Raw genomic sequence first — 15624 nt, forward strand, 5'->3', positions numbered from 1 at the left:
TAAATAAGGACCATTAATTCATTTTCTCCTCCTAAGATCTCACAATGGTAAGAAAAACCAGACATGGTTTCTGTCTTCATGAAGCTTATAGTCTAGTGATATTGAAAATATTATCATATTCATAGTGCAAGTATTATAGTAATTTCGTATAATTAAAGCAACCATATAAGTCACATTAAATTAATACTGCTAATTTGAATTCTATAAATTTTATGACTTTATTTTTGCTTTATACATTTATTTAGGTTTTATTATATAAGATCAACAGGTTTAACAGCATGATAAAAATATTTTAACATTGGGAGATCAACAAGAACTTTTTCCTTTTTGCAAAACATCTTATATCACTCAAGTTTGAAAACCAGTTTAAGGAAATGGTTTTTGGCTAATTTATGTTATTTTCCAAATTAAATGTCAAACATAGATGCAATCATAGACACATTAACTCAAAAAACTGTTCAAAAGTAGCCTCTAAGTCTTTGGATAAAGATTTTAGTTTCTGATGGAATTTTCTCCTGAAGGTAGAAGAAAACCTTCTACCTAAAAACTCTTTTTTTCAGTGTAACATGTCAGAGGAAAAATGCTGATATATGAAAAGACAGAATGTTAGCTCCAAATCTATTATAGTCTATGAAAAGTTAACTTGTGGTTTTTAGTCATTTGTATTTGGGCCATTATTCATACCTGGTTAAAACACCAACGTTATCTTGGTAGTGTTCATCTGAGAAAGAAAAATTATATAAATATATGAGGTATTTGTTTTGCATTGAGCTCACAACCAGTGTGTTTTAAATAATTTTTTTGAGACAGAGATTTGCTCTGTCACCCAGACTTGAGTGCAGTGGTACAATCAAAGCTCACTGCAGCCTTGACCTCCTGGGCTCAAGCAATCCTCCTGCCTCAGCCTCTAAGTAGCTGAGACAATAGGCATCCACCACCATGCTGGCTATTTTTCTTTTATTTATTGAGACAGAGTCTCACTCTTTGACTCTGGCTAGAGTGTGGCAGCATGATCATGGCTCACTGCAGTCTCAAACTCCTGGGGTCAGGCAATCCTCCTGCCTTAGCCTCCCAAGTAGGTGGTGCTATAGGTGCATGCTACCATGCCCAGCTAATTTTTTTAAACTTATTTTTAGGGACAGGGTCTCACCATGTTGCCCAGGCTGCTCTCAAACTCCGAGGCTCGAGGGATTCTCCTGTCTTGGCCTCCCAGAAAAAAAAAAAAAAAAAAAAAAAGCTCACCTAGCCTTGGTGAGCTTTTTATTTTTTGTAGAGATGGGGGTCTCACTATATTGCCTAGGCTGGTCTTGAACTCATGGGCTCAATAGATATTCCCACCTTGGCCTCCCCAAGTGCTAGGATTAAAGGCATTAGCCACTGAGCCCCGCCTTAAATAATTTTTGTTCGGGTTTTTTGTTTGTTTGTTTGTTTTTGTTTTTATATTTGGTCTAACTCATAGAATCTTTGGAGAAGTATGGTTTGAGCAATTTGGTAGGGGGAATTAAATTGTAAAGTAAGGCAAGATGCAAGCTATATCTATATAAATGCCCAATATTTGGGTAAAAAGTAAAGAATTTAGAATTAATAAGATTTTTCCAAATAGATGTATTCAACATCATGTAATTTAAATATTCAGATCTATGACCACTTTCTCTTCTTTTCCTCCAGATATTTGGCATACATAACAATGGTGATGATTTCAAATACCAGGCACTGTATTTCATAAATATGTGTTTAATTGAAATAAATTTTGCTTATGAATGTGGAGAAAATTTTTTTGGTCCAAACAAAATTAATAGTGTTATTTTTGAGAAAAAAACAAATTAAAAATAATTTCCATAAAGGTAATAGTCATCTTACTGTATCTATAAACTCATTATGAAAATTCTGAAAATGTAATGGCTTTGAAATCAGGGGAAGGAGAGGCCCTGCTCATTTCAAGGTGTTATTCTCCAACGAGTGACTAACAGGGAAGGTATGTGACTCTTGGGGCATCCCTGCAGGTACAGTGAATGAGCAAATTCGTAGCAGCATTATGACATCACCAGGGAGCGTGACTTGGGTCAAGAGCTTGGCAGGAGGCTTTGGGAACAGTAGAATCAACAGCAATCAAGACTGGCAAGCCAACATACTGGCCACCATAAAACTGAAAAGAGAGCTTATTGTACCTCACGCACAGCAGCAGGTTTAACAGAAAAGTAGACATGTTTATAGTCCCAGATTTACAGCACACCTTATAAACACCTTATTACTTAGAATCCAGTCTGCTGTCCCAGAAACTAAGAATGTGACTTTGTTAAGCAGTAGGATTTGTTGACATAAATGTCTTGACTAAGTTTGCCATTGTGGTTAACCAAAACGCATTTACTCCTGGGAAAGTAAACACAAGCAAACAAAATGCCTCTTATACTACAATACGGTAAGTTTCAAATTGACCAAACTTAATGCTATGACATAAATATGCTTAATGTTTATGGAATTTTTTAGAAACCTTTTGCCATGTTAGGCTTACCATCCTGTATAAGTCTTACTGAATGGGAATGTGTTTTCAGAATTACATGTACTTAAAGACTTCATCAGAAATATTCAGACAACCTGCCATGAATACCAGGGCTGACCACGCAGCAGATAAAATGGGTCATGGTCTCCTCAGACATTAACGTGGATAAATCAGTTCTGCACCATGTAATAGCTACACATCGAAATGCTTACCAACAATTAAAATTAGAGAACTAATGGAAAATAATGTTGAATAAATATTATAAAACCACATGAAAATATGTTCAAGAACGGCAAAGTACCTGGATGAAACTCACAAAGTTGAGAAAATTTCTAGGGAATAATGAAAATTCAGACTGATTTTCTGATGCTTAAAACTTCATCCATTTAACAGTGGATACAATCCCTTGTTTTCGGGTAGATTTTTGAAATTACAGACTTACAGGACCATTGGTGTGTAACCAAATAAACTCAGCAGCTTTCCTATCCTTTCAGCCTTCTAGTTAGCCCTCACCAAATCTCAAAAATTCTATAGTAGGAAAGTTCTTTATGGTCAGATATAAATGGACAGCTATGATTACATATTCTGGATCTAAAATGATAAATTCTTTCCCAACAAAATATATATCAATAAAGATCTGTGGGAAATTATTAAGCAGATGGCATGTTTGCGATTGACAGAATAAAAAGTGAACAAATATACAGATATTGATTTGCCAAATCCAACAAACCAGATTCTAGAAATGACAAGAGACCTAGAAATCTTTCTAATAGAACCATGTGACTTTAAAAGCCATGGCAAAGGAAAATGACCACATGAAGTCATTAAAACAATTTTAAAAGTTTGTAATATGGGAGATTTGGTTCTGCAGTAGCATATTCAAGGATGATATTGGGGATTTAGTTGGCTAAGCTCCGACAAGTTTTCCCCAAATCAAATTCAATTATAGGCCAAATTAACAGGGGTAGAATGTTCAAAGTGAAAGAGTTGATGATTACAGTCAACATAGGGATTACTTTTTACAGTTCTAGGCACACAAATTAAAACTGACATTGACAAAGTGAAGCAAGTTCAAAGGAAAGAAATTAGAATAAAGAGATTAGGCCCACATATTCTCACACTGTGATAAAGTTGAAAAAATCAGGGGATATTTAGTTTGTAAAAAAACTATAAGTTTGTGGAGGAATATGATCATTGACCCCAATACTTAGATGGAATAGAGCACAGTCTAGTTCTGTTCTAGTAACAATAAATAGAGGTTACAAGGAGACCATTAAAATATAAGAATGATTTTCCAAATAGACAGTTAAAGCTGTCCCAAATTAAGATGGCCTTTCTTGGGAGGATAGGCACCACTGAAAATATTGAAAGACTGAACAATCCAGTGGTGATTACTATAGAAGGGACTGAAGCACTGGAAAGGGGGAGTATATAGGGTAGTTTTCAAATGGTTCAGTGGATCCTTAATATCTGCAAAAAAACCCAGGAGACTGTGTAATATGTTAGAGTTTCACCTCTCCAGCCATAGTAGTTTTTATTAATTTTATTTTATATACGGTGTTCCACTGATGATTTCATTTTACAAAGGCATGTGCTGTTTAAAAATCTTGCAAATCTTTAGAGAAGATGATTTCTGAAGTCAATTCTGGTGTTATTCTATGATTCAGATCTGGCAGAATTCCATCTTTATGGTGTGAGTAGCTCTGTTTAATAAAATTCTGGTGCTCAGAAGCCTCAGAGAACCACATGTGAAGGAACAGCAGTAAACATGATGGTTACTACCAAGCCTGTGACTTGGGCAGGGGAAAAATTGATATGCAGAAAGATAGGAAAGGCAACATTTAAACCAAAAGAAAAAAAAATCCCCACAGCCTCAAGATGTAAGACATTGGAGTGTTTTCCAGGAGTGAATGTTGTTCACAGCATTGTAAAAGAGAAAATACCCCCGGCCTCCAAAGGTCTTCTAAGTGCTGATACTACTCAAATCAGATTTTATTTTCAGTGGAGCATTAATTTTATGAGTTACTTGCCGAAAACCTGAGCCTCTTAGGACAGGGAAGAAGGCTGATTTCATTTCTGAGCATTTTAAGACCTCTGGCATAATTCCAGACAAGGAGTGCATCCTTCTTTGGTCATCCTCTTCCATAGAAAGGGAGTTGATAATTTAGAAGTATTTTCCCAGACATGATCTCATTTTGTCTCTCAACAATGACCTGAGGGACACAAGGACATATAATACATTTTTATCCTCATTTCCCACATGATAGAATTAAAAATCAGAAACATTAAGTGACCAGCCCAAATCATACTGCTACTAAGTAGAGGGGTCAGGATGAAATCTGCATCTTTTTCCCAAGTCTAAGACTCTTCTGCAGTATCCTCAGCACATGATTTCTTCAACTTAAGAGCTCCGATAAGGCTCAGGGTTTCCTTAAACATTGTGTTCCTTTTTATAATTTGTTTGTGTTTGACATACAACTAACTGCTATTTGACATAGCCTTGGGCTTGAATATATATGTGGACAAAAAAAACCCCACTTGGATTCAAATAGTAACATCTCTATTAAAAATCAACAGTCCTCTAGAAATAAATAGCTCTATTAAAAAAAAACCTTAATTCAGTGACTCAGCAAATTGTACTGTGATAGCTTTTAGTAATTATTTTTTATTTTTGTTTTTGTTTTTTTAAGCATCTATGGTAAGAGAAGTATGCAGGAAAACATCAGGCTTTGCATGCCCTTTAATTTTCATTACCTCTTCTACTTCTTGAGAATGTCTGGCCTCTGCCAGCCTGCTGAATGTCTGGCAGGTGAGCTAGTCTTGGCAAAGCACTTGGGGTTTTATCAGCTGAAAAACAAGTGTAAAGGGTCCAGTTGGAAGCTAGATTCCCCCCAAGTGGTGCCCTTAAAGTGGATCAATTTTTCTTCACTTTTTAGTCAAGAATTTTTTTTGGTTTAAATGTTGACTTTCCTATCTCTCTGCATATCAAACTCTGGTTTGAGTCTTCAAAGTTCAGACTGCCAGGTTCTTGGGTGCAAGAATTCCTTATAAAAAAACAAATTCCAGAATGGCAGTAAATAGGAGAATTTAATCCATTTATATTCAAGGTAATTACTGACAAATAAAGACTTAATACTGGCATTTTGTTAATTGTTTTCTGGCTGTTTTTCAGATCCTTTGCTCCTTCCTATCTTTCTGTCTTCCTTTGTGATATGATGATTTTCTGTCATGGTATCTTTTGAATCCTTTCTGGTTTTTTTTGTGTATCCACTATAGGTTTTTACTTTGTAATTACCGTGAGGCTTACATAAAACATCTTGGCTTATAATAGTCTATTTTAAGTTGATAATAGCTTAACTTCAATAATGTATAAAACTCTACACTTTTACTCTCCTTTATATTTTTGATGTCACAATTTATATCCTCTCATTTCTGTATCTACAAACGAATGATTGTAGCTGTACTTACTTTTAATATTCTTTGTTTTTTAACCTTTATACTAGAGTTATAAATAATTTAGAAATCATCATTACAGCACAAGTTGTGCATTCCGAATCTAAACATCTGAATTCCAAAATGCTCAAACTCCAAAACTTTTGAGCACCAATTTGACCCCAGAAGTGGAAAATTCCACACCTGACCTCATGTAATGTGTCATAATCAAACTGCAGCATAATCAAACTACAGGTGCACAACACAGTTTATTTAGGGTCCCCAAGGCAGTTAACCTTTTAATCAAAACAAGCATTGTAGTGGAGAAAAAAGGCTTCTGTTGTTTGTTATTGCTATGTTGAACAGCTGATGTAGATATTCTGGTGATTATATTCTGTAGATATTCTGTGCTGCTTAGCTACCCAGAACACACTATTATTTTTTTTACTATATTAATGGTATGTCATGTTTTTTACTGTTAGGTACTGATGTGTGAATAAACATAAGAAAATGATTGCTTATAGGTAGCATATAAATTCAGAGTCAGGAATGATGATGATGACAAACAACCACAGATTCTCTACATGGGTGGCTGAGGTAGTGACATCTTTACTTTCTGATTGGTTCAACGTATACAAGCTTTGTTTCATGCACAAAATTATTTAAAACGTTGCATAAAATTATCTATAGGCTACATGTAAAGATATATGTGAAACAAATGAATTTTGTGTTTAGACTTGGGTCCTATCCCTAAGATATCTCATTCTGTATATACAAGTATTCCAAAATCTGAAATCTTAAACACTTTGATCCCAAGCATTTTGGATAAGGGATACTCAACCTGTATTAGAATATTCTAAATTTGACTATATACTTACTTTTACCAGTGAGTTGTATACTCTCATATTTTAATTAGTATCCTTTTATTTCAGCTTGAAAATCTCCCTTTAGCATTTCTTGTTAGGTTTAGTGGTGATGAACTCTCTCAGCTTTGTCTAGGAAAGTCTTTTTCTTTCTTTCGTTTTTATAAAACAGATTTGCTGGTTAAAGTTTTCTTAGTTGACAGTTCATTTATTTATTTATTTTTTCTTTCAGCACTTAGGCTATATCATCTCACACCCTCCAGGCTTGCAAAGTTTCTACTGAGAAATCTGGTCATAGTCTTATGGTGGTTCTCTTATATGTGAGAAACCTCTTTTTTCTTGCTGCTTTCACAATTTTCTCTTTGTCTTTGATTTTGACTGTTTGATTATATTATGTCTTGGTGAAGTCTTTCTTGGGTTGAATCTGATTGTAGACTTTTGAACTTCATATACCTAAATGTCCATATTTCCCTCCAGATTTAGAAAGTTTTCAGCCATTGTTTCTTTAAATAAGCTTGTGCTCCTTTTTCTCTCTCCCTTCCTTCTGGTATATTATAATGCAAATATTAGCTCTCCTGATAACACCATCAATAAATCCCATAGATATTCTTCATTCCTTTTCATTCTTTTTTCTCCCCTGATTGGATATTTTCAAATGATCTTTCTTTAATTTCATAGATTTTCTTCTGCTTTATGAAGTCTGCTGTTGACATACTCTATTGCCTTCTTTAATTCATTCATTGTATTCTTAGCTTCAGAATTTTTTAAAAAAATAATTTTTCTTTATTGAACTTATAATTTTGTTCACGGTTTGTTTTTCAGATTTCATTGAGTTGCCTATCTGTGTTCTCCTGCTGTTTGTTGATCTTCCTCAAAATTGTTATTTTAAATTATTTGTCAGGCAATTCATAGTTGTTCATTTATTTGGGGTTGGTTACTAGCATAGTATTGTGCTCCCTTGTTGGTTTCATGTTTACTTGATTTTTTTAAGTGTGTTCCTTGAAGTTTTGCATTGTTGTCTTTGATTTGAAGAAACAGTCACCTCCTTCAGTCTTTACTGACTATCTTCAGGAGAGAAATTTTTTCACCGAAAAGCATGGCTAGTGATTCTGAGGCTCTCTCTGAACTTTTCTGTGGCTGCATCTGCTCCACATCTCTTGTTCCCTCTAATATGCACATTCTTGAGATATTTTTGCCTTCTTTCAATCCTGCAAAGCCAGGCTGGGTGCTAAGAGCCTCCTGCTTGTTTTCCCTATGGCAGTGCTCTGAAATGTTCAAGTTTGAGTGCCTTCTCCTAATCTGCAGAGTCCAGATGGCTGTCTGCACAAGATGCTTGAATTGCTATCTGTGAAGGTGTGCTGGGGAGCTAGCCTGGTGTGGATGGTGAGCCACGGGGTGTTTAGAGTGTCTGTGGACCAGTTGGGAGGTGTTTAAAAGTCAAAAATTCCCAAGTGGCTCATGGGAAGGCTTCCTGATAAAGTCTGCAGAGTGATTAGTAGAATCTGTGACCTCTTCTCCCTGCTCCTGGTGTCTTCCAACCACTCGGTTGTGCCAATCACCTCAGTGTTCTGGGTGGGATGATAGTGGGCCTCTTGGACAGCATCCTGTGTAGCTAGGGGAGCAGGACACTAACTCAGTATGCTCTTATTTTCCTGTTGGAGAAATTGTGTGCTGAGGATGGTGTCTTTCAGCACTGAACTCTGCTGCCTTGGGGGAGGAGTGACATGGGTAAAGTAAAACTCTTCTTCTTATACTCCTCAGTGTGACTATTCTCAGATTTTTTTCTCTAATGGTGTTCTGGAACTTCTTCACTGTATTCCCTGACTCCCACAAATGTACACTCATCTGTGGTAGTTGTCAAAATCAATGCTTCCATGGGGGATGATGGTAGAAAGCTCCTATGCTGCCATCTTTCTGATATCACTCCTCATTTCCAGCTCTTCATGTTCCTTCTTATATTTTTTCTCTGAGCTCTGCTTGTCAGTCTTGTTCCCTGCACTCCAATGTATCCTGAGGGTATATTTCTGTTCTTCACCTTTGTAGTTAGTTTCACAAAAGCAAGAACCCAGATGGATCCTAGAGTTAGTAGTAGAGTCAAAAGTCAAAGTGTGGTACTTGAAGATGAGTTTTATGAAATATTCTGGTATAAAAGGTTCCATTTTCAACCAAACACTAAATCCCTTTTGTTAAGAATCATAGCACATATGTGATATCCTATGATTAAGAAACGAATTGTTCTTTGTTTAACCCAGCAATTCTCAAAGTTAGCCATGTGCTTATCCCTTGCTTACCTTCTCACTTCTCCCCTCTGAATTGAAGAGAGGAGTGGAAGGGAGGAGGCATCCTGGCAAGCTGCATTTTTCAGGCTTCCATGTCAACTAGCTTTCTGACACTGATGTGAGGCTCTGGTGGGAGATTGAAGGATAGAAAGCAAGAAAAAGTCAGGGTATTCTTCCTGCCCTGATCCACCCAGTGCTTCAGAGGAGTCTTCTGCAAAAGCAGTGCTTCTTCCATAGGAAGAACAGACAGATAGATTCTCAGTGGTTCCAAGTTCTACTGGATAGCTCCAGATCCATTTTGTTCTTTTGTACTAAGAGCAGTAAGGGTTTCCTGTTACTGCTAATCTATGAGTGAGTTGTTTTGCAAGTGGTAGGCCAGATGGTTTTCTGAAAGGATCTAGCATTTTGCATGCCAGGACTCATGAAACATGCTCACTGTCTTTGTAGCACAGCACTATTTGCATAGATGTCAGTATAGTGGGATTATTGGTTATCAGCTTCATGAAATCTGCCTCTGTATCATGCTTCTAGATTTTCAGAGATCTATTAATCCAGATAAGTGCCTTGGCCAGTTTGTTGGTAAGCAGTATGTTCTATCCTAAGGCTTTTGAGCAACTGGGTCCTAGATCTGGATCTGTCCCTACTGCCTGGCGAAAAGCTTTCGTATCACCACTGACACCATCTCACATTTGTGAGGTTGCCGATAAATGACCATATTCTCTACAGCGATAGAAAAATGATGGGTAGTCCATACCAGATCCTGAGCTCTGCCCCACAAGAATATCCCATTTGGAGATGAAGACAGGGCCTCTCCAAACAAGTCTGAGACAATATATTAAGTCACTGATTCCTGGGTAGCATTGACTGCTACACCCTTTCCTGCAAAGATCAGTATCAAGTATGGTAGGTTAATATTGGCCCGCAAAGATATTTATGTTCTAATCTCCAGAACCTGTGAATATGCCACCTTACATATCAAAAGGACTCTGCATATATGATTAAATTTAGGGTTTTGAGATGTGAGATTACCTTGGATTATGAGGTGGACCTAACGTAATCACAAGCGTTGTTATAGAGGGATGCAGGAGCGTCAGAGTTAGAAGAGATGTGATGACAGAAGCAAAGTTGGAATGATGCAGGCCATGAGCCAAGGAATGCAGGCAGCCTTTAGAAGCTGGAAAAAGCCAGGAAACAGATATTCCCCTAGAGCTGTCAGAAAGAACACCGCGCTACCACCCCACCTTATATTTCTTATCTCTAGATCTATACATATATTTTCATTTTAAGCCATTAAGTTTGTCGTAATTCATTATAGCAGTAATAGGAAACAAATATACCAAGAGTCTGCAGGGAAAATACAACTTGGGTAACTGAAAATTTGGAGATTCCTTCAGCCTCTCATACAGTCTAAGTTTTTCTAAGAGGATTACATGGAGCCATTCTCCCCATCCACTTGCTTAGTTGAGGCTGGTTTGTCATTCTCAATTCAATCACACCTACTGTTCTTTGGAATAATAGTTTCTATAATAATAATACATGCTAGGTGATTTTTTCCTCCTTCCTTACACATCAGTATACAATTTGGTGGAAGGTTAAAATTTAACATAAATTCCAAATGATTCTCCACATTATCAAACTTACATACCTTCCAAATGCAGTGCCACAGAGACTTTGAAGAGGCGCTAACATTATTAGCAATCTTCTGAATGCAAGGAACCCAACTTGAACACCAGAGGGGAATTTTTTGGAAGGTTAGCAAGTATCTCACAGAAGAGGAGCAAAGGCTTAAAAGCCAAGCCTTGGAAGGCAGGACTAGGGCAGGAATCAGAGCCAAAAATATAGTCAGAACAATCACATTAATACAATCTCAATGTCTTCCTCCCTCCAGCCTTCCTTTCTCTTTTTCTCTCTCTGATTTAGTCTTTTTCTCTTCTCAGTTTTCTCTCTCTTTTTCTGTCTCTTGCTCTGTCTCTATTTTCTCTCTCTTAACATACTGCCTTCTTTCTGAACATCAGTTTTGTGCTCCCTTCAAAAGGCAGATCTTCTATACAATCAGACACAGCAGCTAGCAATAGCTCGGGCTCTTTCAGGGTCACAGAAGGAAGAAAGTTTTCCCCAGGGAAACACACTGATTGGTCAGGCTAGAGTCATGTGCCAAGGCTGTGAGATTGTGTAAGAAAATGGAGGATACTGTTTGGATTCCGTGTTACTTCAGTGAGAAAAGGAAAGGGGTGGTGGGGGGTGGTGGGGGCAATGTTCAAAAGAAGAATATGGAAGGCAGGCTGCAGATAAATGTCCATTTGAGGCTTTCGGTTTTTTTTTTTGTTGTTGCTGTTGTTTTTTGGTAAAGTCTTTCTTCATTGCCTGAGCTGGAGTACAGGGCATGATCATGGCTTACTGTGGCCTCAAACTCCAGGGCTCAAGCAATCCTTCCACTTCAGCCTCCTGAATAGCTGGGACTACAGGCATGCACCACCAGGCCTGGCTAATTTTTAAATATATTTTTATAGAGATGATGTCTTGCTATGTTGCCCAGGCTGGTCTCAAACTCCTGGCCTCATGTGATCCTCCCACCCTGGCCTCTCAAAGTGCTGGGATTACAGGCATGAGCCACCATACTTGGCCACTGGGTATTTTTAAAGACTAGAGTGAACCTGTGGCTGATGACACAGAACATTTCCCCTCATATAGAAAATGTTTAAGTTTGGGCTCTCAGAAAACATCCACAATAAGACCATAAAATTTTTAAATTAAATTGCACAGATGTTATAGAAATATTCTAGTGGTTTCTTTGTATCTGCTCAAATTTATAAACATATATGTTTGTGTATATGTATGTATGTACAGAGACATTTGAAATTTTCATTTATAATTCTCATTTGTAAAAGAGATTTATTCAGAAATACTTAAATTCAGCACTACCAAGAAAATTGCTTGTCTAATCTTCTAAGACTTTAATGAGTTTCCTAAACATGACATAGTCAGGTAGATAAACATATTGTAGAACTAAAATTATTAATTGTTGATTTATTCACCAATTTTATAAATGCTCCTAGATTTAAAACTTCAGCACTACCTGTTTTCTTTGACACATATTCCTGAGACAATTGGTCTTAAAATATTTTAAAATCTGTAATGGGAAGCAAATAGAGTCAGCCTATTAGGAAGTATCTCCCAGTAGAAATTTTCTGTGGACCTGGTTTAAGAAACAAATCTCATAACTATATATTATCATTTATATTGTTGGTAAGAGTTAAAATATTTAAAAATATGTGTTACCTTGAAATATTTAAATAAACTTCCTTTAACATTGTTTATATTGTTATTTACCTAGGAAGATTCCTTTTTAATAGACATTACAGGTTTGTCAGGTTTGTCTGAGAAGAACAAGCAATGGGGAAAGGATTCCCTATTTAATAAATGGTGCTGGGAAAACTGGCTAGTCATATGTAGAAAGCTGAAACTGGATCCCTTCCTTACACCTTATACAAAAATTAATTCAAGATGGATTAAAGACTTAAACGTTAGACCTAAAACCATAAAAACCCTAGAAGAAAACCTAGGCATTACCATTCAGGACATAGGCATGGGCAAGGACTTCATGTCTAAACTACCAAAAGCAATGGCAACAAAAGCCAAAATTGACAAATGGGATCTCATTAAACTAAAGAGCTTCTGCACAGCAAAAGAAACTACCATCAGAGTGAACAGGCAACCTACAAAATGGGAGAAAATTCTCGCAACCTACTCATCTGACAAAGGGCTAATATCCAGAATCTACAATGAACTCAAACAAATTTACAAGAAAAAAACAAACAACCCCATCAAAAAATGGGCAAAGGATATGAACAGACACTTCTCAAAAGAAGACATTTATGCAGCCAACAGACACATGAAAAAATGCTCATCATCACTGGCCATCAGAGAAATACAAATCCAAACCACAATGAGATATCACACCAGTTAGAATGGCAATCATTAAAAAGTCAGGAAACAACAGGTGCTGGAGAGGATGTGGAGAAATAGGAACACTTTTACACTGTTGCTGGGACTGTAAACAAGTTCAACCATTGTGGAAGTCAGTGTGGCGATTCCTCAGGGATCTAGAACTAGAAATACCATTTGACCCAGCCATCCCATTACTGGGTATATACCCAAAGGACTATAAATCATGCTGCTATAAAGACACATGCACACGTATGTTTATTGTGGCACTATTCACAATAGCAAAGACTTAGAACCAACCCAAATGTCCAACAATGATAGACTGGATTAGGAAAATGTGGCACATATACACCATGGAATACTATGCAGCCATAAAAAATGATGAGTTCATGTCCTTTGTAGGGACATGGATGAAACTGGAAACCATCATTCTCAGTAAACTATCACAAGGACAAAAAACCAAACACCGCATGTTCTCACTCATAGATGGGAATTGAACAATGAGAACACATGTACACAGGAAAGGGAACATCACACTCTGGGGACAGTTGTGGGGTGGGGGTAGGGGGGAGGGATAGCATTAGGAGATATACCTAATGCTAAATGACGAGTTAATGGGTGCAGCACACCAGCATGGCACATGTATACATATGTAACTAACCTGCACATTGTGCACATGTACCCTAAAACTTAAAGTATAATAAAAAAAAATAGACATTACAGAGGGATGTTTGTATCAAGTCTTTATCCAAATAATGTGATTCTATGAGGGCAGTCTTGGTCTGAATTAACAAGCTTCCCATAATTTGATATGTCTATGAAGGCAGCGATGAAGAAACTTGCATCAAGGAAGAGCTTAAAATCAACAGCAAGATTAATGAGTGCTACAAAGATCTAATCTTACTTTATACAGATAGGGTTATATATACAGTTCCATTCCTTGAAATTATTGAAGGCTCACTGAGCATCACAGAAATACTACTCTGGTTTGGCTGCAGAAATTCCCTCTGGCTTAGAATTGCTTGTATTTTAAGGGAATAGTCCTCTTCTTAAGCCTGGATCTAGGAAAGGGTGCTGCAGAAATGGTAGTTTTGACACACTGTGACACCTAAGGTGCTCAGTTTGAGCATGCCATGGTTTTGGCAATGATAAATGGCAAACACTTATATACAGTTACTACATGCCAAGCAGGCCTGCAAACAAATTAGACATCCCACAAGTAGTCAGCATAAGCCCAATCACTAAAATGTCTACAAAGTCAGTGATTACACGATTGGCCATTAGCTCAAAATTGTTTTTTTATATGTGAAACATAGGATAGTGAAATATCATAAGCTGTGCAGTCTGTTTGGTTCCATCATTTACTATCTGGATTCAGAAAAAATAAGCCTTTTAGAACCTCAGTTTCCTCATCTTGAAATGACAGAATATATGCCTACTCCCCTTCCCATGAATAGGGGCCAAGAAAAGTCTGAATGGGATGACCAGAACAATGGTGCTAGAGCTGAAGTTCAGGTCTTCAACAGAGACTTTGGCAGAGAGTATCAGCCTTTAGTTGGCCAGTACACTCAGAGGAGTGCAAGTCAGCATCCCTATCAAAGATAGTTACCAAGGTGAGATATACATCTGATGATACCCCAGGGCTCATCCAAACTCTGGGAAGCTGAAACCACCAATTTAGCATTTGGTGATTTTCCTGATCACTATACTTGGGTAAGAAAACTGTAGGAATTCTAAAATTTGATATAAACATTAGAGAAAGAGATTGAATTTCTTCATTAACTCAACATACTTTAGGTTACAAGGAAAAGGCCTAGTGGATTTGCTAGCATGCATATTCTCTAAAACATCTTAGCTATCTAAGACGAATTTACACTAGAATGGGAGAATTTATAAATTGGGGAAATATCCTAGAAGGCCTTTGAAAAGGAGTATTATGGTTTGGTTTGGGGTTCACATTCACTGAGTAACAACAAAAATGGCTTATTTGAATTTAGTTATTGTTTTGAAACTATTACAATACATTTAAATACAAAAATTGCTCTCCTCCATGGAAACCTGTGTGTTCCTACAATAGTTTTTAATGCATACCAATTCTGTTCTTGGCCATTTTGTTTTTATTTGCATTCCAATTTTAATAGTGAGGACAGAGACAACTGCGTAAATAAAATAAAATTAAAAACATTTTAAACTCATAATAGCGAGTACATTTTGATAAAAAATGAAGGAGGTTAGGTACCCTGAAAAAAACTTCCCACTAAAAACAGAGTGCTCAATGAAATATTGTACATGCCTTTTAAAATGTAAAACTCATTTATACTCACAAAGAAAGTAGAATGGAAAACTGCAGCTAATTATTTAGCTGCCTTCAGGGAATTTGACAATTTCTATGCCCAGAGTCTTGGGTATTAAAGGTGTAGGTATTAAAAGGGGTAACAAGATGTGGAATTGGACCAGATTAAAGCTGAGTTCCCTAAAGACCCTTAACCTCAGGAAAAGTTTGCTGTATTATTCTTTATATATTTTTCATATTTAAAATATTGTATAATAAGCTCCAAAAGGCATTAAAAGAGTGGAGAACTACACTTTCGTTCTTGAGGGTCAT

The 15624-nt window shown here is 36.8% G+C and overlaps 1 long non-coding RNA gene across 1 annotated transcript in view, besides 1 other annotated feature; it reads right to left on the bottom strand.

Moving 5' to 3' along the window:
* Nucleotides 1-1409: 1409 nt before the first annotated feature.
* The window catches only part of LOC105374715 (uncharacterized), a 41147-nt gene continuing 26932 nt past the window's right edge, over nt 1410-15624 (bottom strand). Inside the window, exon 3 of the long non-coding RNA NR_188269.1 lies at nt 1410-4713. This is a non-coding gene — a long non-coding RNA (uncharacterized LOC105374715). The remainder of the gene's footprint in view (nt 4714-15624) is intronic.
* Nucleotides 1810-2311: an enhancer, noted in NCBI's record as "NANOG hESC enhancer chr5:33008763-33009264 (GRCh37/hg19 assembly coordinates)". NCBI's record gives its function as "activates a minimal SCP1, AML or CMV promoter by ChIP-STARR-seq in naive H9 embryonic stem cells {active_cell/tissue: H9 hESC(naive)}" and the evidence as "EXISTENCE:reporter gene assay evidence [ECO:0000049][PMID:30033119]".

The sequence above is a fragment of the Homo sapiens genome, chromosome 5, assembly GCF_000001405.40.
Source record: "Homo sapiens chromosome 5, GRCh38.p14 Primary Assembly".
Classification (NCBI taxonomy): domain Eukaryota; kingdom Metazoa; phylum Chordata; class Mammalia; order Primates; family Hominidae; genus Homo; species Homo sapiens.